A 25,726-nucleotide genomic window follows, 5' to 3' on the forward strand; every position below is an offset into this window, starting at 1 on the left:
TGAGGCACTAGTTCCCGCTGCCAAGACATGGGAGGCAGAAGGTGGTTCCCACAGATGGTTTTCTCCAGATAAAAATACGGTGCAGTTTCTATTTGAGGGCAATTTTTAAAAATTCTCAGTAATTTGACCCAAAAGAAACATACCCTATCATTTTCTGAACAATTGAGCAGTGAACCCCCTTCTAATATTTTGAGATTATATTTGTATGCAGTATTAATTATGCTCATGCTCTGTCATGTCAATGGTGTTGTTGCAACTGCAGTTATTTTTTTTTCTTTTGAGACAGGGTTTTTCTCTGTTGCCCAGGATGGAGTACAGTGGCAAGATCACAGCAGCCTCAACCTGCCAGGCTTATGCGATTCTCTCACCTCAATCTCCCAGTAGCTGGGGCTACAGGCACATGCCACAATGCCTGGTTAATTTAAAAAAAAAAAAAATTGTAAAGACAGGGTGTCGCTAGGTTGCCCAGGCTTGCAGCTTTTGTAAAAATTGTTTTTTCACATGGTCTTAAGAAAGAAATTACTTGTGAAGATTCATGTATCACAGACTCAAATTACTTTTTAACAACATACAATATATACTTCATACATTGAAGGTAACTTTAAAAAAGTTGTTTTGGTTTGTGAAGCATTACTCCAAATTATTGTTATCAACTTGAATTGTATTAATACAGCTTTTATCATCTCTAGTAAGGAAATTCAAAGCATTACATCTCTCCTAATGTTCATTATTAAATCATATGTCAACATAAATATAATTGGCCCTTACATTTGTAGGATGCTGTATAGTTTGCAAAGTGATTTTACCACCAATAATTTTGCCTGACTTACTTCACAACCCTGTGAGATAGGCAGGGCTAGTAATTACTTACTAGTCTCCATGTGTATGAGGAGATTAAGGATCAAAAAGGCTAAAATGCCTGCTTAAAGCCAAATAGATAATAAGTATATAATTGAATACTAGGCCCCACAATGAAAATACTCTCCCTACTGTGGTATTAGGAAAATGACATACTACTCATGCAATTACTCTTATAAACTCTATCATTGTATCATAAAGGCTTTTGGATTTAATTCTATGACAACACCAAAGCATCATCCAAATTACTGTCTGAAATTTCTGTTGAACTAAATAGTTAAGTAAAATGATCCATTGACTAGGGTTGAGTATCGTCATGATCCAGTAAAGGGTATTCATTTTAATAAGATTTCATACGCATCAAAAAGAATTAATTTTGAGTTTATTTTAAATTCTGACCAAAGCAAGTTTTATTTTTCCACTTAAAAGCTAAGTTTCCTTCTTTTATTTTTCCTCCAATCACCTCTTGTAGCTTACCAGCCTTAGTAAGCTTATCATTGCACTCTACCTGCCTTTTTGCATTACTTTGATTAATGTAAAGGTAGCATATCCAGGTTTTTTAAAAAATATTATTATTACTTCTCTTGCTGCCTTCTTTTAAGATATATATATATATATACTTTAATCGGAGTTAGGGTGTTGCCCTGTTGCCTAGGCTGGAGTGCAGTGATGTGATCATAGCTCACTGCAGCCTTGAAATCCTGGGCCCAAACAATTCTCCCACCTCAGCCTCTCGAGTAACTAGGACCACAGGCATGTGCCACCATGCCCAGCTAATTTTTAATTTTTTTTTTTTTTTCAGACAGAGTCTCGCTCTGTCACCCAGGCTGGAGTGCAGTGGCATGATCTCAGCTCACTGTAAGCTCTGCCTCCTGGGTTCACACCATTCTCCTGCCTCAGCCTCCCAAGTAGCTGGGACTACAGGCACCCACCACCATGCCCGGCTAATTTTTTTTTTTTTGTATTTTTTTAGTAGAGATAGGGTTTCACCGTGTTAGCCAGGATGGTCTCGATCTCCTGACTTTGTGATCTGCCCACCTCGGCCTCCCAAAGTGCTGGGATTACAGGCGTGAGCCAGAGCACCGGGCTTGGCTTTAACTTTTTAGTAGAGACGGGGTCTCACTATGTTGTCCAGGCTTGTTTCAAAGTCCTGGCTTAAAAGTGATCCCCTCCCTTGGCTTCCCAAAGTGCTGGGAGTACAAGAATGAGCCACCATGGCCGGCTGGTATATTCTCTGTATAGAATACTCACTGGGCTGTTTCCAATTTTAAATAAGTATAGTTTATTAAGGAATCAGTTCTAAAGTGCAAGCATGTTGATCAACTCTGCTACAGGAGTTCTAAAGTACATGTTTTCCCTTTCTTAAATACCATTCTTCATCATGCAGGCTCTTTCCTCTTTGAATATCATTGATAAAAGCTGTCACTTGACTTAAAAAGAAGCTCGTTTTTGTCACTGCCGTCCTATGAGAAACTTCTGTCTGGTACCACTGCCCAGATCTCTAAAGCTAAATGTTTCATGTCTCTACTCAGCTTCCTCATTGTCTTACCCTTTATTCCTATAAACCACCCTATGACTTTCCACAATTTTTATTTTCTGCTTAGAGTCTGCTTCTGACACTGCAGCCAAAGAACACTGCTTGCTACAGAAGAGTAAAAAAAAAAAAAAAAAAAAAAAAAGTGTTATAATTGGTTGGTACTGTTACCCCATTTGAGTCAAGCATTGTTTATTACAACACTATTATATTTTCTTCAAATTGCTATACATTGTTTACTGAGATATTATACATTTTGCTTGATTTCACGTATTTTTCCTGGGCTGTGTTTATCCCCCCTTTTTTGGCCAAATGAATTACATGCACTTAAAAAGCTTCCTATGATCTGTATTTGTACCAGTGGTTCGCAAACCACATCAGACTCACCTAGGTTTGGGACTCACTCATTTAAATAACACATCACTCACCACCAGGCTTATTTATGACAGAAAGTGAAGTGCGGGTTGCCAGGTAATTTCTCTAGATCAAGGACAAAAGTCACTTAGCCTTTTCTCCAGTCTAGAAATCTGTTTGCTCTGCTAATTGAACTACCCTAATAAAATCAATAATGTCTCTTATCTTCAGTGAGGTAGGAAAGAAAGCCATTCCGAAGTGGCAGAGAAGCTGCTTTTTCCTCCTGCATGCTGCCTGCTAGTGTGGATCTTGGCATAACAGACACTACTTGGCAAAAGGTAAGTGTACCAAAGTAAAAACCATATTCTTGGTGAGTTCATTCATTCCTAATAAAGACTTAGGTCTCTTTTCCTGCAAATATTGTCACTGAGTGAGTGTGAAGAGGTGCCTTCTTATTTTTGGAAATCATGGGGAGTGGGATTAGTGAGCAAGAGGTGAGAATGGGTGACTATCACCACTCTTGTCGCTAAGGGCTAGACTGGTTCATCTCTGCCTCTTCTGTGCATGTAAATAAACACAGTTCCCTGGGAGCCTATGTTAGTTCAGGGCCAAAAAATTAATATGCCACAATTGTATATACTCTTTATTAATTATATATATATATATACATATATATATATATATATAACCTTTTTTTATTTCTTAACATGTTAAAGGAAAGAAGATGAGAACTTACGGAAAAATAATTAAGTTGAAATGTCCTTATTTTATCTAATTCAGCCTGCTCCTCTTCCTCTACTCCCATATCAGTTATTATCATAACCACTTACACAATCACTCAGGTTTGGAACCAACCTATCCAACTGGTCTCTGGGCCTTCTGCCTGGAGGTCCTCCTTGCTCCTTTTCACATTGTATCCAATGTGGTCTTTACTAAGTTTGGATCTGATTTTATCTTTCTGCTGATTTAAATCATTCAGCTGCTTCCCAAAGATTCATGGTTATGGTCAGATTCCTGAGCAAGGTATACAATCGCCTTCAAGATTTGGCATTGCCTGCTTCTCTGGGTTTATCTTCCATCCTTGTGCCATAAGCACCTTCCTCTCCACTCATATCAAAATGTTTGCCTCTTCCAGAACTTGTTGGAGCCTTTAGTGTTCTAATATTATCATACATTTCTGAAAGAAGGGTAAGGGTGTAACATTCCTCAAATATATTTAACTTTGGAACATTTTACAGTAGATGTTATGTAGAACTAATGTTCTGAGAAACACACTTAGGTAAATGGCACTTAACATAGTATGGTATACATTGTAATGTGTATCATGCCATTAAGTGTCTTTCATTCTTTATTTATTTTTATTTTTATTTTTTTTTAAGATGGGATCTCACTCTGTCACCCAGGTTGGAGAGCAATGGTGCGATCTTGGCTCACTGCAGCCTCTGCCTACCGGGTTCAAGCAATTCTCCCACCTCAGCCTCCTGAATAGCTGGGATTACAGGGGCATGCCACCATGCCTGGCTACTTTTGCATTTTTCGTAGAAACGGGGTTTGGCCAGGGAACTCTTGACCTCAGGTGTTTAAACCAGTATTTCTCAAATTTATTTGACTGCATTTCTTTTTCTTCATGGAATACTTATTAAAATCTTGCAAAACTAGACTTCACATAACATAAAGAAAATCTTGTTGGCTGGGCATGGTGGCCCATGCATGTAATTCCAGCACTTTGGGAGGCTGAGGTGGGAGGATGGCTTGAGACCAGGACTTCAAAACCAGCCGAGGAAATATAGCAAGATCCCACTTATACGTTAAAAAACAAACAAAAAAAAATTTAGTGGGGCATGGTGGTGTGCGCCTGTAGCCCCTGCTGCCCAGAAGGCTGAGGTAGGAGGATCGGAAGGCTGAGGTGGGAGGATTGCTTGAGCTAGGAGGTTGAGGCTCCAGTGAGCTATGATCATGCCATTGCATTTCAGCATGGGAGACAGAGAGAGAACCTGTCTCAAAAAAAAAAAAAAAAAAAAGAATGCCCCGGGCTGGGTGTGGTAGCTCACGCCTGTAATCCCAACACTTTGGGAAACTGAGGCCGGTGGATCATGAGGTCAAGAGTTCAAGACCAGCCTGGCCAACATAGTGAAACCCCATCACTGGTAAAAATACAAAAAACTAGCCATGCATGGTGGTGGGTGCTTGTAATCCCAGCTACTCTGGAGGCTGAGGCAGGAGCATTGCTTGAACCCGGGAGGCAGAGGTTGCAGTGAGTGGAAATCGCACCGCTGCACTACAGCCTGGATAACAGTGTGAGACTGTCTCAAAAAAAAAAAAAAAAAAAAAAAACAAAAAAAAAACCAAAAAAAAACAAAACAGAATGCCCCATCTCACATTGTAAGGTCTATCGCATACAAGACAGCTATCTGTTTTGTCTTGTCATTTAAACTTTTTTTAATTTAAATTTTATTTTATTTTATTATTTGAGATGAGGTCTCACTCTGTCGCCCAGGCTGGAGTACAGTGGTGTGACCTCGGCTCACTGCAACCTCCGCCTCCCAGTCTCGGGCAATCCTCCCACCTCAGCCTTCCAAGTAGCTGGGACTACAGGTGCGTGCCACCACATCTTGCTGATATTTTTGTATTTTTGGTGGAGACATATTTTCAATTTTCACCATGTTGCCCAAGCTGGTCTTAAGCTCCTGAACTCAAGTGACCCACCTGCCTCGGACTCCCAAAGTGTTGGGATTGCAGGCATGAGCCACCGCACCTGGCCTAAACTTTTTAAATATACTCATTCACATAAAGTAGCTCACACAGAAAAGTACTGATGTTCTTTCAAAACCATCAGGAACATCAGCTTTTATTTGAATGAACAGAAAATAGAAACTGATTGCTATTCTTTGAAAAGAGGACTCTGTTGTATACATACCATAGCCTTCTGTTAGCTATTCAGTAAAAGTCTTTGATGTTTCTGCAATAAAGCAAAGTGATTTCAAAAAGAAAAAAAAATTGCCTCTGTCCTCATGGCCTCCATAGGTGTCATTCTTTCTACTTAAAATCTTACTTTTTTTTCTCTACCCAGTTAATTTTCATCCTTCAAGATGTTTAAAAGGAATGTTCCCAACCTTTTAATGATAAAGATATATTTTTTTATCTGTACTTCCAAAGCATCCTCAGCAAATATCCTAGCACCTGTCATACAGGATTACATTTGCTGGGGCATGACTCTGTGTCTCTCACCAAATATGAACACTCTGTGAAGGTGAAGGAGCGTGTCATTTTGACTGTATATCCTCCAGAACCTAGAAGTGGGCATGGGATGTAGAAAATGCTTTTTAAATTAAATAAAGAATTGTATGAGTCAATAAAACAAGTAGGTAAATGATGCAAGGAAATATCTGAGGTTTGCTGGGAAGGCAGACTTACAAAGCACACCTTCTTAAGAACAATTGCTCATGGCTAAATAGCTCCTTTTACAATCTCACCACCAATCTTTCCATTCTGTGGAAACCACACTTTTCAGGTCCAGCCTGCTCTCCCAAGTACTCTAGGTGAGGCTTATCTCCCTCCGTAATAAACACCCATTGGATATCACGAATTCTTGCCTAACCAAGCTATCTCATTTCCATAAACCAATTAGCTCAACATTTCCATCTCTTCTGATATTTTTCCCAAGTAATTAGAAAATTCCATTAGTGTTCTTATAGCTAAACATAGAATTCATCAATATTACTCCTTAATATATAGGCAGCTCCATTGCTTCATTAGACTATAATATATAGAAGAAAGACTAAGGGCTGCCGAGTCAGAGACTTGAATGTGAACCCTGGCTTTTCCACTTTCTATCTGTGCCATGTAGGGTGTGTTACTTGTGTTAACGTTTCTCTTTAGGCCACAGGCGCTCTTCCAGAAAGTTGTGCATTACAATATCATCTATGTGTTGTTTTTATAGTATGAGACAGTGAGATCTATAAAGCCTCTAATCTCCCCTAACAAAGAGTAAATTCTCCTAGATAGTAGATCAATAGTAATTATGTGTATCAATATGAAGAATCTTTCAATTGATATTGGATATACCAAATTTCATTTGGTTTCATACTCCTAGATCATAGAGTTTTTGTAACTGCCTGAAGGGGTCACCTTGCCTGCTGCCTAGACAGAACTGATTTATCCAAGGCAGGGGAATTGCAACGGAGAAAGAGTAATTCACGCAGAGCCAACTGTGTGGGACACCGGAGTTTTATTGTTACTCAAATCAGTCTCCCTGAGCATTTGGGATCAGAGTTTTAAAAGATAATTTGGTGGGTAGGGGCTTGGGAAGTGGGGAATGCTGGCTGGTCAGGTTGGAGATGGAATCATAGGGGGTTGAAATTAGGTTTTCTTAATGTCTTCTGTTCTTGGGTCAGATTACTGGTCTGGGTGGTGTGAGCTGATCCATGGAGTGCAGGGTCTGCAAAATATTTCAAGCACTCATCTTAGGTTTTACAATAGTGATGTTATCTCCAAGAGCAATTTAAGGAGGTTCAGACTCTTGGAGCCAGAGGTTGCATGACCCCTAAATTGTAATTTCTGATCTTGTAGCTAATTTGTTAGTCCTGAAAAGGCAGACTTGACCCCAGATAAGAAGGGAGTCTTTTTGGCAAAGGGCTTTTATCAATTTTGTTTCAGAGTCAAACAATGAACGGAATTCCTTCCCAAAGTTAGTTCGACCTATGCCCAGGAATGAGCAAGGACAGCTTAAAAGTTAGAAGCAAGACAGAGTCAGTTAGGTCTGATTTCTTTCGGTCATAATTTCCTCAGTTATAATTTTGCACAGGTGGTTTCATTTTCAATAAATAGAGTATATGAGACCTGAGTCTCTGAGTTGTAGTGGTAGAGAGGTATCTTATTACAGTTATAATAGCATTACGTAAACTTGTCTTAATATTGAGGTCACTTAATTTTTTGACTGGAAAGGGTCTTATTGCTCTTCAAATACAGATGTGGACATAAATGTGAAAGATGGCAAAAGATTCAGGCCTGAGCCTCTGGCTAGATTGTGTTTCCCTTTGCTCAATTCCTTCATCCTTTCTTGCCATTATTTCCATGGTTCTGTAATCCCCTGTCTCAGTACTCCACATTCTGAATTATTTTTGTTCATATCTGGCCCACATTATTATTCATTAGAGTCACTTCTTTGGTCCACTAAATTCAATATCTCATGGTTTTCTTGAAGAGTTAGTTGTGTAAATCTTTTCTCTCTTTCTCATTATTCCCCATTTGCCTCCCTAGATCCATCCTTCCTTTTCCTATACTTTGCTCAGCGGCCTGGAAGATTGACCTCAAAAGCAAAATCACCTGGATTTCCTTGCCATTTGGCTTTCAAATGTGCTCAGCCAATGACAGGCTGGAAAGAAATTGACAGCTGGGAAAAGAGGAAGATTTGTGTACAAGATCCCTTCCACTCCCATCTCATTACCTGCCATGGTCCTAGCAGTGGCTGTTCTTATTATGGCCACAACTACTCTTGGACAGGCCAACATCCACAACTCCATCCTTCAACTAGGCTTCATTAACACTGTCCCTCACCCTTATCTCTTTCTGGGTAGGGGTGATAAAGGTTTCCTGACATCAGAGTTCCTGAGTGCCTCATATATTCTTGTTGGTCCCTGAACCTTGCCCCAACATCAATAAAAAGTTCCTTCATTAAATAATTTTCAGTTGAATCTTTCGTGCTGGGATCTGTCCAATTCGACTTTAGCATACTTTTCGTGCCAAGAAAGTGATAGTTTCTTGCCAGGATTTGGCTCAAAGGGCTCACAGTGGGTGAGGGGATGAGATTACTTATTAAGTGATAAAATGGAGATCACAGTGGTTAACCTGCCTAAGATCACATGGTTGGTCAACTCATGGTCGATTCATTAAAATATTAAAACATAGAATCAGTCAGGCAGTGGATGTAATAGATAAATAAAACACACATGTACCCTTAATAATTTATATTCTAGGCAGGCGTGGTGGCTCACGCCTGTAATCCCAGCACTTTGTGAGGCCAAGGTGGGTGGATCACCTGAGGTCGGGAGTTCAAGACCAGCCTCACAAACATGGAGAAACCCCATCTCTACTAAAAATACAAAATTAGCTGGGCTTGGTGGTGCATGCCTGTAATCCCAGCTACTCAGGAGGCTGAGGCAGGTGAATTGCTTGAACCCAGTAGGTGGAGGTTGCAGTGAGCCGAGATTGCACCATCGCACCCAGCCTGGGCAACAAGACTGAAACTCCATCTCAAAAAAAAAAAGTCTATATACATACACACACACACACACACACACACACACACACACACACACATATATTCTAGTATAAGGAGAAAGGTGTATAACCGATATTTAAAATGTAGCAATAGTAAATACTCAATGCTAAAGGAACCCTGAATTTAATCTAGGCATTGTGGATGAAACCAAGAGAGAGATGGGGAAAACCATGATTATCTGAGTAGAATGAAAAGCATATGTTCAATCTGTCCTCCCTCATCATTTTTCTTACTACCACTCTAATGTGTAAAGTCTAATCCAATCACTAACTGTTTTCTTCCAGGCTGCTTGCAATAACCTCCTGTAAAGTAGTATATCATCTGTGCTTTTCATCATCTAATCCATTCTCTACACTGGGGTCAGAATGATCATTAAAATGCAAATCTGAGACAATTCTCTGCTTACAACTATTTTTTCACTCTCGATTTTCCCTAGGGTAAAAAAAAAAACATGGCTAACAAGTTCTTACATAGACTGCCCGTTTCATGAACTTTGTCTCTAGCTAATGAACTTCTCTTTTTTTATGTTAACTTATATAATCTACTTTTAGTTCCTTGAAAAGTTATTCTTCTTTGACTCCAAGACCTTTGCACGTTCTATTCCCTGTCTTTAATATTCCTCTGAACCGCCTGTCATTTATGTTGATGATTTATATCCATACTTCAAGCATTAGCTCAACAATTACTTCCTTGAGAAAGCTGCCCATGAAAATTCCTAGACCAAACGAGGTCCCTGTTATATGCTGTCACGACACCCGACAGTTACTCTTTACAGTATTTATCTCAATTCTAATTAAGTTAAATGTGTTTGTTGTTCTTATGTTTTTCACTTTTTGAGAACTGGCATGATTTCCGTCTCTTCACTACTTTAGCCTCAGTGTTAGATCCAGTGCTGTACAGGCAGTAAGAGCTCAGTAAATAATTTTTGAAAGAATATGTGAATATAAGAAAACTCAGACTCTGAGAAATCATTTTGCATTAGGGGAAAGTGCAAGTCATTCGGAGTGATGAAACTGACGGGAGAAGACTGCAAAGGGCAAGTCTTGAAAGGGCCTTAAATGCACCATAGGAAATTTAGACTTTTGTCCGTTGTGATAAACAGTCATTATCATTATCATTGTTATTACTTTTAACAAACTTGGACTTGTTCAGATTTGTTGACTGGATGAAGAATAAGTTGATGCAGAAAGAAACTGTAATCAGACAGACCAATGAAAAGAAACTGAAATGATCTGGAAGTCAACATTAAGAGCATACACTAAAGTAGTGCTTCTCAAATTTGGTGCCTATCATAATCATTGGTTGAGGTCATAAAGCCCACAGAGGCCCAGCCTTCTCGAAGTAGGATAGATCCTGAGCCTTTTTATTTTTATCAAGTTCCTCGAGAAGTTCTGAAACCCATACAAGTTTGAGGACCCCTGAAGTAAAGTAAGGCAGTGAGATATACTCTTGATCTGGCTCAATAATAAAAATTAGAAGAGCACAACAGAGGGGTACATTTTAACTATCAGGTATATTAGCTAATGTGGGGAGGTATAACTAGCCCTACAGCTTTATGACTGGCATGAAACTCACTTGTATTCTCCCCAGATTTTGGTGTCTGGACTCTGCAAAATCTATCTCAGTTTGCCACTGAAAGTTAAAGTCAGGCCGGGTGCGGCGGCTTATGCCTGTAATCCCAGCACTTTGGGAGGCTGAGGCGGGCGGATCACGAGGTCAGGAGATCAAGACTATCCTGGCTAACATGGTGAAGCCCTGTCTCTACTAAAAATACAAAAAATTAGCCTGGCGTGGCGATGGGCGCCTGTAGTCCCAGTTACTCGGGAGGCTGAGGCAGGAGAATGGCGTGAACCTGGGATGTGGAGCTTGCAGTGAGCTGAGATCTCGCCACTGCACTCCAGCCTGGGCGACAGAGCAAGACTCGGTCTCAAAAAAAGAAAAGTTAAAGCCAGAATTCCTCCTGACATGATATGTAACAGATTATAAAAGAACTTGGATATTCTAATTCCCAGTGTATCTATGATAAGGTCTTAAAAATCACAAGTGAAAAATTTATGACATTTTAGAATATATATCGATATTTAGAATATCTATATATGTTTAGAATATCTATGTATATATATTTAGAATAAATATGTGTATATATTTATATGTGTGTTGTGTGTGTTTGTGTGTATATATATACATACATATATTTCTACATGCATTATTGCCGTATTGTCAACTTGATGTATCCATAAAAGAACACATGTGAAATTCACTGTGGTGTTTTTGAGTTTGCTAGGGTAATATATGCCCATTTGTTGCCAAATCTATTGTGATTCATGGAAGTTTAGCATTGCATCCAAACTCTGGATAATGTTAAATCTTGTGAAAGTCTCAACTGTGAAAGTGTTTACTTATTAACTGAATTTTAAAAGGTACCACCCACATGCTAGCATGGTGCTAATATTTGCTGATATTTGGTACTACTGAATTTTTTTATGTGCATTGCAGATTTAATATTAGTTTGATATCTGTTCAATGTCTGGTGAATGGTAACATTCCTTGCCATTTGGACTTTAATAGAAAATATAACAACTGGGCAATTTTCAGGAGCAGGAATCAGAAAAGATCCAAATAATGCAGTGGTTCATTTTGTTATTATTCCTTAGTCTAATACTACCACATAATATAATATATTCTAAATTTTTGAAATGTAAAGAAAATATTTCTTCATTTGTTGCCAATGAGAGACAACCTGTGATAGCAGAAATGACTTCAGTTCTGATTCAAATACTGCTAACCAAATCTGGGACCTTGGGCTAAGCCCTTAACCTTATTTGAGTGTCAGTTTCTTCACCTTTAAAATGATGGGGATGACTAGCCTCTAAATATTACCATTTGTTCTACAATTCTGTGATTCTAGGTTCTACTGACTGAACATCTCTATAGATTTTAATAAAAATATGATCTAATTTGGGAACATCTGTTATAATCTGTAACATATTCTGCCAAGTCCTTGACCTTAATTTTACTATAGACATCAGATGTTCCTTCATAGACTCTGCCCTGCATTTTACCAAAGGAATATCAGTTATGCTTGTGTCTAGAGTAGTGTCAAGCTGACTGAAAGATATGCCCTATTTGTTAATATTATCATTGAATGATTTCTTAGGGTTTTAAATACCACCAATGATATAGTTCAGTGCTATTTTAGCATTAGAAATTACATAAGCATCCTTTTTGCATTTTTATTTTTATACTTATTGCAAAATACAAGTGTTCTTGTTAAAGGCATTATACTTTCTCTAAATGTGGATTGAAAAATAATTCTGTAACATACATATTAACATATTAATTGATTAAATATGCAGCTGTTTCATTTTCCCTAATAAATAAATAAATAAATATTTCCTTACTAATAACAGTAACTATTTCCATCATTTATCTAAAATTTGCTTCGTTGGATTAAACATTTAATTTTTATAATTTATTACCTACAATAAAAGAGTTTGGGCTATAAAAAAATAAAGTTTCCCGAATTTTAACTTACTAGAATAGAGATATGTATATATCTCCTTGGTTTATAGTAAATCTGTGAAGAAATAAATATATACATATTTCTATTTTATATGATATATAGAATTATATATCATATATATAGAATTATATATCATATATATAGAATTACATATCATATATATAGAATTTTTGCAATCTATGATTTTACTATTTGTGAAGAATATAGCTTATTAAAAGAAAAAGTGTATCCCTCTATGGTTAATTACTAAGCAAAGGCAAATCTTTGACTCCAAAAGGAAGAATGGATAATAAACAAACACATAATTCATTAGACTCAGCACACTTCAGTGCTTTGCCTCTCTGAGTCTAAGTTTCCCAATATGCAGATGCTGGTGGGGAAAGGGCAGGGTAGTGATCACCTTGAGAGATATAGTGGATTATTTGAGATAACAGTAGAACAGCTCTTGCCCCATAGTTATTGGTTAGTGGACAATAACCACTATTTAATGATTAATTTAATATGCAGAATAAAGCTACAAATAAGAAGATTCCCTGGGCTCATGCTGTTTTATGACTGCACGTGAGGAACATACTTATTTTATGTTGCCTCAGGCTCTTTCCTTTAGTTAGTCAGACAAATGTCAATAAGCACATTGGGCTTCTTACCGCTGTCTTCCTTAGTTTAGTTCTGTTCCTGATCCTGTATTGTTGGTCAGAATTGGCCAGATATTTACAGAATTTGAGGACCAAGTGTTGATTTTTTTCTCCCAATATAATTTAGTCTTTTAAAATTAGCTTTCATTTAGCCTTTTAAATAGCCTTGTCCCTTTTTTTCCCTGGAATCCATTGATTACTCCATAAAGAAAAATTCGGTATCATCAAACATGTGTCCTTATGAGAAATAAACAATTTTAGTATTTTGCAAAAGAAATTCTAGAAAGCATAGAGAGGGTATGCATTAACTTCCTCTGATCATTTTACCCCACTATACCACTATCTTCTCCAGTCCTTTTATCCCAGGTTACTTCCAGCCCCGGCCTGTTTGTGCTGGGTGCCTTGCTTGGCTATTTGGGGTCTTATGCTCCCACAGAGCTGCCTGCGGTGTTTGTGCTTGGGAAGTCCAGGTACCTCATGGAAAGGAGTGGAGAAAAGAGACAGAAGAGGAAAAAAAATCAATTTTCATTGTGCTTTGCAAAAGTACGAAATGTCCTTGTAAAGATGGCCTCTTACATATACTCACTATACCCCATTGTGGGCTGGCTAGTACAGGACTTACAGTCTCCTTGGTAAAGACATTGGGGCTCATAAGGGTTAAATAACTTGCTCAAGGTCATGCAATTTGGAAACATTCCAATCCAGTTAAAAGCCTATATCTTCCAAATGCAGCTCCAGGATTCTTTCCATTAGTTCATTCCAACATCTCTATTCTGGGACTATTATCGGTAGTGCCTGAACTTGTTTTTGGGAATTCCCGTCATTCATGCAAGGGTTTCATGAAGTACTTTGATTATGAAAAAAGGAGAAATCTTAAAGCTTTGCTTTGATGACAACTAAGAATGTTAACAGCTAATATATTAAAATAAGATGTAAAACTTTAGCAAAGATACGTATCCCCTCACTGTATCTTCTCACAAGCAGAGTGATTAACACTGTCAGAAGCTTCCCCCATAGCAGACATGAGAAGAATAGTAGGAGTAGGTAGTTATGTTTCTGTCAGAATAGGCAAAATTTTCTTCTGTGAATTCAGGAGAAAAGGATGAGATTGCTATGAGATCAATATTGGCTTATTTCATTCAGTACAAACAGCATAGAATCTACCAGTGGTAGGGACCAGGGTAGCAGGATGCCTTGAACATGTGCTCAGAACAATTAAATAGTTTTTATGTTGTCAGGTGAATGAGATCAAAGCATTCAGAAAATGCCCATGGATTTCAAGAAAATAAATACTCCATAGTTCATAATAGTTCAAATTAGTTGTTTTAGCAATAAATAAGCCAGCACATATTTTCTGAATTTTTTTCTTTTGTAAAGATGGAGCCCCACATCACATTATAATCATTCAGAAATTTCAAAAAATGAAATAAAACAGCAAATCCTATTTCAAACCAATTAAACCCCTCTCTGAGGGAGGTGCCTGGTTATATATTTTTTCATGCTCCCTAGGTGATTTGAGCCTGTGGCCACAGTTGAGAAACAGTGGTTTGTAACATCAGTGGTCTTGGGTAACCTACCAAGAAAGCTTTTTTGGTCATGAAGTTTTATGTGCATCTACTTCAGGGTCAGTGATAATATGCCCTTTCTTCTTTTTCACGGTGGCTCTATTCATAATCCCTCAGTTTTCTGAAGGGGATCTAATGTGGACACACCAGCCTGCAGTGTCCCTTGCAATGATAAGTGAAATGTAAGAAGAGTAACATGAGAGCTGATTCAGGGTCCAAGTCCTGTACAGGCTTCTTATTGCTTGGTGACAAGTTACTACGACTGTTTCTTGCTTTTTCCTTGTCTTGTTCCATCATTTTCTTTATCCTTTTTCTCATTTCCCATCTTATTTATTTATTTGGGTTTCTCAGTTTCTTGTGTGTGTGTGCGTGTGTGTGTGTGTGTGTGTGTGTGTGTGTTTTCCATTTTCTTTTTTTGGGGAAAATATACTTGCTTGAGGATAAGAAAGAGAGTCTAAAACCAATGCTAATGGGCATCTATTGTAATACCAGCTGATTCTACCATGTTCACTTTAATTTTTGGTTCAACAATCATTTTTCAAATGGCTTCGATATTTGTATGATTCCCAGCTATTCTAGATGATCACAGCGTAACTTAGCTTTTGATTTAAATGTCATACATGAGGAATACTTGCAAAGTATTAATTGGTTAAATTTTAGTGGTTATTTTTCAATAACCATTAATTCATTATCTTTTTTGTTATGGATAGTTCACCTATAATATTCTCAGTGAAGACCATATCCTATTAATTAATTTAGCTTTCTAAAAACATTATTGATCTGGAATTCCAGGGAAGAAAATTTTGTGAAAGAGATGTCTTATCATTTTAAAAGCCTTTCTTCAGTCTCCATTGTCCAAAAGCAAAGTTATATTGGAGAACAAATTGTACAGTAAATGTTTTCATGTTTTCCTTGTGATCTAACATGTATAAATTTAAAACTCACACACAAACATTATGCACTACAGATGATTAAAAATAAAGAGTCTAGAGAATAATGTGTGATCTTACTTTCTTTAGTGTATGTATTTGTGTCAATACCACTGGCTGAGCGGTATACAATTTCACTTTCCTTTAGCTCCACAGTAAACTCAAGATCATTTCTAGGTGCTTCTCAGCTTTTCCAGCTCGTGTGGAGCTATAGAAGGGAGGGTAGAATGTTTCTGCTTCAACAGGGATTTTTCCCAATCCACACTGAATGAAATATCCATGTGTCTAATAGTTCATTTATTAATCTTTGTTCTGAGTTCTTTTTACAACTAGAATTTTTAGTTCCTCAGCACAGTCCAGCAAGTCTCATTTCTAATGAAATAAACCTTAACTAAATGCATTTGACTTTCTGTCAGGTAAAAGTTAAGAACACGAAGTTAGTCCTAGACTCTTCTCAAGGAGCCTTCAGACCACTGAGTGAGAAGGATATAAATGATCAATTTCATTAAAGCACAGTAAGTGCCATAATAACACAGAAGAGGAAAAGACACATGCTGCTTAGAAGAGTAATAAAAGAACACCCCCAAAATTACACACGATTTCAGCTTTGAAAGATAATTAGCAGTTAGCTAGGAAAAGAAAATGGTGACTGTATGCAAAGACACACTGGCAGATTCAGAGATCATGTGGAATTCAGAGTGGTTAGATCAGGACATTTATCAAGAAGCGGTGGGTGGAGGGAGGATTCTGAAAAGTTTAATGAAAGTCTGATCTTGAAGGTTTTTATTCTCTAAGGACTTTGGACTTGATTCTGTCGGTAATAAGGCAGTAAAAGGAAATTTAAAGCAGAAGTGATTTGTGAATATCTGTTTTTTATGAAGTTATTTTTAGCATATGAGGATTAATTAGGAATCAGTAGCAGGTAAAGGAGTACGAAAAAAGAGATGTTCCTAGCCTTGGAGAGAAGATGGAGAAGAGGATTAATGCTTGCCAGATGTTCATGAAATGTATTTGACAGGGCTTGCTATTGGTTGGGCTTAAATTGTGAAGGGGTTTGCTTAGGAGGTTAACTTTGAAGTACCTGAAATCACTAGGGGTAATTAACAAATCACTATAAATTCATGCTTGGCGTTTGAGAGAGAGTTGAAGTAACACTGATATACTAGACAAAGTGCAGAGTGGTTAGAATGAAAATATAAATTAACCAAAGGCAAAAGTGCAATGGCAGGGTTTTCATTGTCAGATTGTAGAAGGTGCTATCTTTAGTAGAATTCTCCACTTTCGCAGTTTAGTAGGATTTCTACAGGTTCAACTGAATGAATTATCTTCTGACTCATCCAATATAAATTATATTTTACATGCCCTTTGAATCTCTGAGAAGTGGCTTAATTGGTAGTATATTATCCTTTTTTATTTTTAAAGACATCGAGGTATTAGAACAGTAGTGATATGTTTCTTCATAATAATAACAGTAGTGATTACTAATTACCTTGAAATGTTAACTAGAAGTACAATGCTAAGGGTTATATTTACAGTTCTATAAAGTAAGAACAATTCATAGCCTTATTTTATTACAGATGAAGAAAATGAAGCTTGGAGAGTTCCAAAACTAGGATTCAACTTTGGGTTTCACGTCTCCAAGATCTCATGCTCTACACCAGCGGTTTTGAAATGTTACTGATGCCTAGATCCACCTAGAGATTTTGGCTTAATTGCCGTGAGTGAAACTCAGTCCTAAAAGCTCCCCTGATAATTCTAATTACAGCCAGACACGCAAACCACCTTTTCAAACCTTATCACTTCACTGTCTTCCACTTTGGAAGATACCATCACAATCACAATCTCAATGGCTCCCCCTGGAGCTCAATGCAGATAGTGCACTATGGAGTTGCACAGTGTGGCAGCTGTGCCTAAACACATTCACCCTCTGGAAAACCCTCAAATCCAAGAGTTTGAATAAGTATAATTAATGTAAAGCCCTTCTTTATACTAAAAAAATGAGAGTCTGGAAAAATTTTCTAACTTATTAGGATTATGTAAAAGTTTTTATCATATTGTTTTTATATTTATCAAGAAAAGATATAATCAATATATTTGATTGAATACAGGTATAACCAATAAAAAATCACAGAGTGAGAATATTTTAATTTTTGAAATGGAGGGCAATGTCATGATGTGACTATTCATAGCTATTTTGTTAGAGGATGATAGAAATGATACAACCATGAAATGAGGGGGGTAGAATGAACTGCCGATCTCAAAACGTGCAGTTTTCTCACTGCTTTGGAAAACCTCTGGCTTTACTTACTCGTGTGAGGACTTCACAGAGCTCCTGGCCAACTAGAAGGGGCCAAGAACCTATCCAAAAATAACAAAATCAAGGAAGAGGTAGGACAGTGCTAGGCTGAAGGTCTAGACAGAGTCAGCTCTGTTATGGTGCTGGGAGGGTGCAGTGTGATCCTGGAGACCATGAGAAAAGTTTTATGAATGAAGGCAGTGGGAATGCAAGGAGAGCAATACAAACAGTTGTTCTTATGGAAAGAGAATGGGCATTGGAGATAGATCAGTCTACTCTCATACTTCACTAGCTGTGTGATCTTAGGTCAAATCATTAACAACTCTGAATTTCAGTTTGCTTTTCTATAAAAAGAGGTGGTAATGAACTTATAAATGTGAAAGTACCTAACCCAGAACCTTGTTACTGATTTTTTTCTCCACATTGGCTTCAGCTGAAAGACAGTGGTAGGGAAAGCAGGAAGCTCCAGGGAACAGCAAGGTGGTGGTGGTGGTAAATCAAAGAGAAGGTGAAAATGAGGTGGGCTAGAAATGGAACAGTTTCAAGAACAGACACACACAGTCAATTCCACTTGCTTGCAAACGAAAAACCACCACTGTAACGCAGCAGCCTCTTATCCATCCGGGGTTAATTCAGCTTGCCATGCTTTTGGCAGGATGGGCTGGATGCTCTGTAGGGTCCCCTCAAAAAGAGCACAGGCTACAGTCACTTCATTTTCTAATGCTGCTGCGTGAGTTTTCATTTAATTAAGAAGGCTAACCTTTAGAATGACAGTTTATTTATTTTTTCTTCCTTTAGCTAGTTTACTATGATCCTAATGCAAGCTGAAAATGTGATAGTAAAGAGGCCCAAGGTTTCACTGATAAGGCTAACGTGTTGTTTCTGTATTTACAGAAAAAATATTAATAGGCATATTTATAGATGCATAAGCCAAAATTCCTTTCAGATAAATCTGATCTTAAGTTGGTGGGAACAGTAGGAAAGGAAAGATAAGCCCTGGAGGAGTATATATCAAAAAGACATCCCATATACTAAATAACTGAGGCCCTAACAACACATGTGCTTGTAATTAGCTGTATTAAAAGCATGTAAAGTTAGATTCTTACTCAATCCTCTAAACCTCTGGATATGGAGAAGTAGCTACTTAAAGCCTCTGTTGTGCACAGTGTCTGCGGTGCTCTCTAGACAGAATGGCCAAATGAACCAGAGAGAAAGGGGAGAGTGACCCGTTATGGTGAATGCCATGGGGCCACAGCCCTGCATGCTCTGTCTTTGCCCATGGTTGATGATGCTGTCCTTTGTCCTCTATAGTATTAGCAAGCAGATGGGGACCCTCAAGCACTGGCAGAGTCTAGAGAATAATGCGTCATTTGCTGTGCCCTGGATTTATCCACAAACTCCCATGAGCTAGTGTCTGCTTAGAGAGTTCGCCAGATCTGCCCTGACCCTAAGTATACCTGCCATAACTGTTATGCTTGTGTTGTTTCTTCTTGGGTGCCGTTTTCTCTTTCTGTTAGGGAATACTTTTTGTCTGCTCTTCACGGAGACTGTTCACATGAATGGAATTCTGAATGGAGATTCTATTACTAAACTAGAGCTAACTCTGACTGTTCCTGACTGTGTCTGCTGACTAAGGAGTGCCCCATTGTCATTAACTGCTCGGCCTCACACTAGGATCACTCATACGGATGATGGTGATTTTTTTTTTTTTTTTTTGGACATTGAGGGTAGCAGTGAGTCTTTTCCCAGCTTCGCCCCATTGGTAAGCCACCAGGTATCACTGGTTTATTGACAGATTAAATAAAATAATACCAGGACTATTATAACTGACCCTTGGGTCCAGAGGAATTCTGAAGTTTGTGTTTCCCTCACTGTGAGCACCTTTAATCCTGTACCCTGACAGCAACAAGCAAGTATTGAAGGCAGAGTAGCAGATTTCAATTCTCTTCTCATTAAATGTAAAATAGAGCAAATAAACAAATAAGCTGTGACTGGGATCTTAGGATGAATACTCCTAGGTAAGTTCTATACCACATTATTATGTCCCCTAGTTTTTACTGACAGTGTTAGTACAAATAGCAAATTAACATTACTTTCCCAGGTATATTTCCACTGAATGAAAAGAGAATAGTTCTTATGTTGCTAATCTAGCAGCCTTGCTCCAGGTACCAACATCACTTTAAATGAAGAAAAGGTCAAAGAACAATGAAGCAGGAAGTACTGCTGCACTTACAGCATCTCCTGCTATCTTCCCGGCAGTCTTCCCATCTTTGGATATTTTCAACCCATTATAAATGAGTTCACTGGAGGTCGAGTGATTTGCCACATACCTGAATGAACTGTAGAAAAGAAGTGCTATAAAATTCTTTTTGTGTATCCATTGGTACTCACTCCTACACCCACAAATACACACACACACACACACACACACACACAAATACATATATATGCTCTTATTTTAACATAACCAAGCTTTAAAAGCTGTTTGTCATCTTTAAGCTCTACTATATAATAGATTTCAACTTAGCTCATTATATACCTTATGCAAAATTCGGGGCCAAACAGCAATTTTTATAGCATGCTAGTTATTTCTTCTAACAGCAGTGGTAGGAAAGAGTCCAGCTATTTTAATTTGAGCTGGCATGGTATTTAAATGTGTTCTTATACAGGATAATAGCAATCATTGCACAAATCACAGTAGAAATATAATTCATCTATAAACAGAATGCAAGGTAGAGGGTCACATGACCTTTACAAGGACCTGTGTGGAAAATCCTGTCCTAGCTTTAAATTCTGTTTTTAGTAGGACAGATATTCTCTGACAAAAGGTTTTTTCCTCCGTCTTATTTTTTTTCAGGTATTAACAACATCTGCAATGTTTCCTCCAGTTGATGTTATCGTCCACATGGCAGATTTAACATCATGCCTGTCAGTTTTCTAAATCTTCCCAGGGAGAAGCAGTTTTGCACTCACCTCCTTATGTATCATTCTAGCTCTTATTTCTTTTTCCAGTTAAAAGGCCTGTGAAGCTAAATGAAACTAGAAGCTATAACTGTTATCCAGAGCTAGTGACACTGGATTTCTCTCCAGGGAACCAACTGCATCTATTTAAAATAAACTTTCAGGTGAGCATTTGGGAAATCTTTACTAAATAGAAGGGCTCTTGATAGAATGCAGTAGTCTCTACAATAGAACATTGACCTTGACCATGCAGGACAACTTTGAGGTTTTTGCAGCATTATAAATGAGGGCCCAATAATCTAATATGGATATCCAGTAAAATACTTTTCTTCAGTATCCATATGGTTGTCAAACTAATACTAGACGGGGGAGAGGAAAAACTGCTCATGGTGATTCCCTTTTTCTTCCTTGGTAATGGCGGCAAGTGAGCGTGAGCATGTGTAGATGGGCACAAGGCTAGGAAATCTAAGTCCAAAATAAATTTTCTTTGATTAATTTTTTAACAAATTATAAATATTAATTATTCATTTATAAACACAAACATTCCATTTTCTATCTCCACTTTTCCCTATTTCTTATTGTATTGAAATAAAAAGAAACGAAACTAGCTTCATCTCTTAACACGTGCCTGCTCCTCTTGGGGCAGTGGGGGAAGAGACAGAGAAGCAAAAACCAGTTGTGTAATATGAAGTGTGGCAATATGACGGGAGATCTAACTCAACGTGTGGTGACAAGGAGAAAGAAAGGGGTGTGGTCAAAGGTAGATGCAAATAAAAAAGGTCATAGGATGGAACCGAGCAGAAAATGTGGTGCTGGCTCTTTTTTCTAGCAAATCTGTATCAAATGATTGGTAGGTGCTGTCTATAACGTTGTGTTGTAAGGAGCCATAAACCCACTCATTGGCCTTACAAAGGCTAGAAGCATTTGTTTCCACAGCACTCAATTGGCATTGGCATCGACATTGTACCACTGAGGCCATATTGTGTGGTGTATTTGGCTGCCTATCTTCCCCCGTAGGCCACCAGAGTGAATGGTCTTTGATTTATTCATCTCTATTTTCTCAAAGCTAGCAGAGAGCCTGGCACACAATAATCACTGAAAAATGTTTGCTAAATGTTTATTTGGAACCTGAGTCAAAATGAATCATAGTGGTCTTGTCTTTGATAATAAGGGTTTTGCATGAATGGATAGGGAATATGGGAAGAAATTATACTTCCTGTTCAATGTAAGGATATAGAAATAAAACATTAAAAAGAAAGCACAAAAATATGTGCAGAAAGAGAGAGAGGAAAAGAGGACACCCAGGAGAATAGAGACATCACTTCTTGAGGGTGCAATTTGAGAAGAAACAGCTTCAAGGAGACAATGATAGAAGCGAGATCCTGAAACTCCTAACGGCAAGAAAATTTGAGGCACATTTGACAAATGTGTGGCTCTCAGTTGCAGAGGACAAAAACACCTGTTTAGATATCCACAGCTACATAGGATGGCCATGTAAATAAGCCATAGTGCCATTTAAGAAATTGTTCTATCCAAAAGTACTTAAATTTGAGTTTATTAAAAATACAGAAGATAGAGAAACATATTATCAGATACCATAAGGAAAAAAGAAAACTTTTAATGTGAGTCCCTTTAAAAGACAACTAAATCAGTTGTTTTCAACAAATGTTTAAAGGCAGGAAAAAAAAGGCAGAGGGGCCCTATTCCCAATTAAAGGATATTCAAAAGACATAACATGTAGAATTTATTTCGATCCTCATTTGAAGAAATCAGCTTCAAAAAGACATTTTGCAAAAAAAACAGGGAAATTTGAATATGCATTAGAAATGAAACAGTGTCAAGGAATTACTGCTAATGTTTGTTGACTGTGATAATGGCACTGTAATTATATAAGAAAATATTCCTCTATTTTAGAGAAACATACTGAAATACACAGGAGTGAAATGACATGATGTCTGATATTTTAAAATATTTCAGGCCAAAGAAGAAAGAAAAAAATTTGAAAAAAAGAGAGATTGGGCAAGAGTAGCAAACCTAAATAATTATTATTACATCTAGGTGATGAATCTATGGTGTTTCTATATTCTTCTCTCTACTTTTGTGTATGTCTGATTTTTTTTAAGTAAACATACCTTTAACATTATATATATTAGCATATATTTTATGTTATAAATGAATGGAGAACCATTGTTATGTTTTGTGCAATCCGTTCACCCCTGGATATAGACTATTTACTGTGAACAGACATCCTTAAAGTATATATTTATGATGTAAATTTAAGTTAATATGTCCTATTTTCTTAAATCTTCTTCAGACATAGGGACTACCAATAAGGTCCATTTTTTCTTATGCTAGTCAAATGAAAACCTTGATTTGGCTGTAACTGTAAAAATTCGACTGTATGTTTCACAACTGACTGATGTGATAAAAGAAAAATAATACATTTGTTACTTCTGAGTGACGTAAGATGAAATATCTTTCCGAAGGGTCTTTCAGTGTATCAAAAGGCCTGTTTGCCTCACTAGTGCCTCCTTGGGTTGATTTCTGAAAACAAACAAACACAAACATACCTTTGTGACAGAAGTAAGATAATGTATATTCTAGGAATGATTAACATGATAGTTGGTCTGAAATTCATTACCACAAATCACAGAAGACAAATTGAGAAAGCTGTAACAGAGCATGCCAATCTTGACATTGGAGGTAGAAGCCGTAGATTAAGATAGGAAGTAAGAGCATTTGGGAGATGCTGAACGCACCGTATTACCCAGAGTTTTCTGCTCTGGATGTCTAAGAGGTCATAGTAAGGCCTTGAACACAGGGAGTAAATCATTGAGGTAAAGGTGGTAGAGAACTTGGTTAGCTAGGATATAACTGTGGATGAAAGTCAAAATAAAATAAAATAAATTACACTTTTTCACTCCCACTTCCCATCTTTCCTCTGAAAACATTTTAAATGAAAATATGTCTATATCAGGAAGTTAGCATTTGAAGTAAGGGAAAATAGGGATTGTGATTCTTAGACATAGCTCTGCATTTTCGCAAATAGGAGCTCAATGGTTACACAGAAATGCATCCCTGAAAAGCAAAGTGGGTGCCCACGGAATTGTCATGGTTCCTCTTTCCTCTCGCCCCACTAGGGCTTTGAAGAGGGAGGCCTTGACTGTTAAGAGGAAAACATGAAGAGAAAAACTGAATGGCTCTATGTGTAGACATCCTTTCATTCAGAAATATATTAATAACATTTAGGGTCCGAAAAATACAAAAGGAAACAAAATTACTTTTATTATGTTATAGAAATTGTTTGAAGACTCATAAAATGGAGAGATTTGAATTAGATACCTACAGTTTTTATAATGTATGTTTGGTTATGCATGGGAGAGTGGGCGGAGGTGGATATAAGGAGAGTGTCTGGAAAGGGAAAATTGAAATTGGATCCACGTATTTTAAATTGCAGTGCCATATTTTTAACCACTTCAGTTTTTTCTTCCAATTGTGTCAGTATTTATGTATTTGCTTCTATGTATACTCAGAACAATTTTAAAGCAATTTTACTATTTTATCTCCTTTCCATATTAAAAAATTCCCCTCATTTCCTGAAACACAGATTTGAATGAACGTGAAACTGTAATAAATCATTATTTGGATTTTTCTAATATAAAAATATTTTAATTTGCTCATTTTAACATTTTTATTTCTTGGCTTTTAAGAAGTTTTATTTCCTTCGTTATATAACACTGCTTTTCATTGCCTTCTTTTAAATGATGAAGTTATAAAGCTTTCATTTTGGTTCAGAAAATCACAGCTCTACTGAAAGCAATCTGAACCATATTACCTCATTATAACTAATTTAACCTTTTAACATTATAGACCAAGGGAGACCAAATGCCAAAATAAATTCTTCCTTTTCTGGAGAGAAGTTGATGGCATGCCTTCCTACTAGGTACTCAGGATAGAAAAAGATGGCTAATACAGTATTCTGGACTGATTTCAGATCACGAGTTTTATTAACAGAATAAAGGTGTGCTAAGTTCTGCCCATATTAACAGACCTGAATTTGGTGTCGTAAAACATATTAAGGGAATAGCCAATGGACTTTGCCTAAAGTAGTTGTTCATTTGAGAAAAGAAAGTCTGTTTGTATGGAACGTAACACAAAGCGATGTCAACAATAACAATAAGGCAGCTCAGTTTTTAGGTGCAGGGTGGGAAAGTTCTATGTTGTGTCTGAAATGGTCAGGTAAGCAGTAGACTTGAAATGTCTCAGTAAGAAAAGATAAGTTTTGTATAAATGTCCTGAATAACATTTTAGGTTGAAAGAATACTATGAATAAGGACGGGGTAATAAGAATGTGGATGACAGGTTTGGAAGGCTGTTTCGGTTAGTAATCTTGGAGCAGAGGATTCAAGTACATAGATATAGGGGAAGAGAGCAGGGTATTGGAACATTGGAAAGAGGCAGTGTCCGGCTGTTGAAGGTGGACATTGAACTTTATTCTATAGATAGTGCCGAACCTCTAAGGGCTTTACAGAAGCAATTCCAGTCCAATGCTTGCCTGATCATTTTAGACACAACATAGGACTTGCTGTCCTGTGCCTAAAATTGGTTTATGTGAAGCAGTTTTCAGAAATACTAATCTGGCAATATTTTTCAGATTTCTTTGGAAAGGGAAGAAAAACTCAGTGAGAAAAGGATTCAATAATACAAGCATAATAGATACTAACCAAAAATAGCACAGCGAAGTAGAAAAGATAAAAATTCTAAACTGTGATTTTAAATTTTCAATTCAAG

At 37.4% G+C, this 25,726-nt stretch overlaps 1 long non-coding RNA gene across 5 annotated transcripts in view; it reads left to right on the forward strand.

Annotated features, from left to right (window-relative positions):
• LOC101929667 (uncharacterized) overlaps positions 1 to 21,099 on the forward strand; it is a 46,532-nt gene extending 25,433 nt beyond the window's left edge. For 4 of the 5 annotated variants that reach the window (XR_939982.3, XR_244991.5, XR_939983.4 and 1 more), the window contains 2 exons: positions 2,978 to 3,084; positions 8,006 to 8,427. This is a non-coding gene — a long non-coding RNA (uncharacterized LOC101929667). Of the gene's footprint in view, positions 1 to 2,977; positions 3,085 to 8,005; positions 8,428 to 20,986 lie in introns of those variants that run through there. The other variant, XR_007086295.1, reaches the window with a different exon arrangement.
• Positions 21,100 to 25,726: the final 4,627 nt, after the last annotated feature.

The sequence above is a fragment of the Homo sapiens genome, chromosome 2 (genome assembly GCF_000001405.40).
Source record: "Homo sapiens chromosome 2, GRCh38.p14 Primary Assembly".
Taxonomy (NCBI): domain Eukaryota; kingdom Metazoa; phylum Chordata; class Mammalia; order Primates; family Hominidae; genus Homo; species Homo sapiens.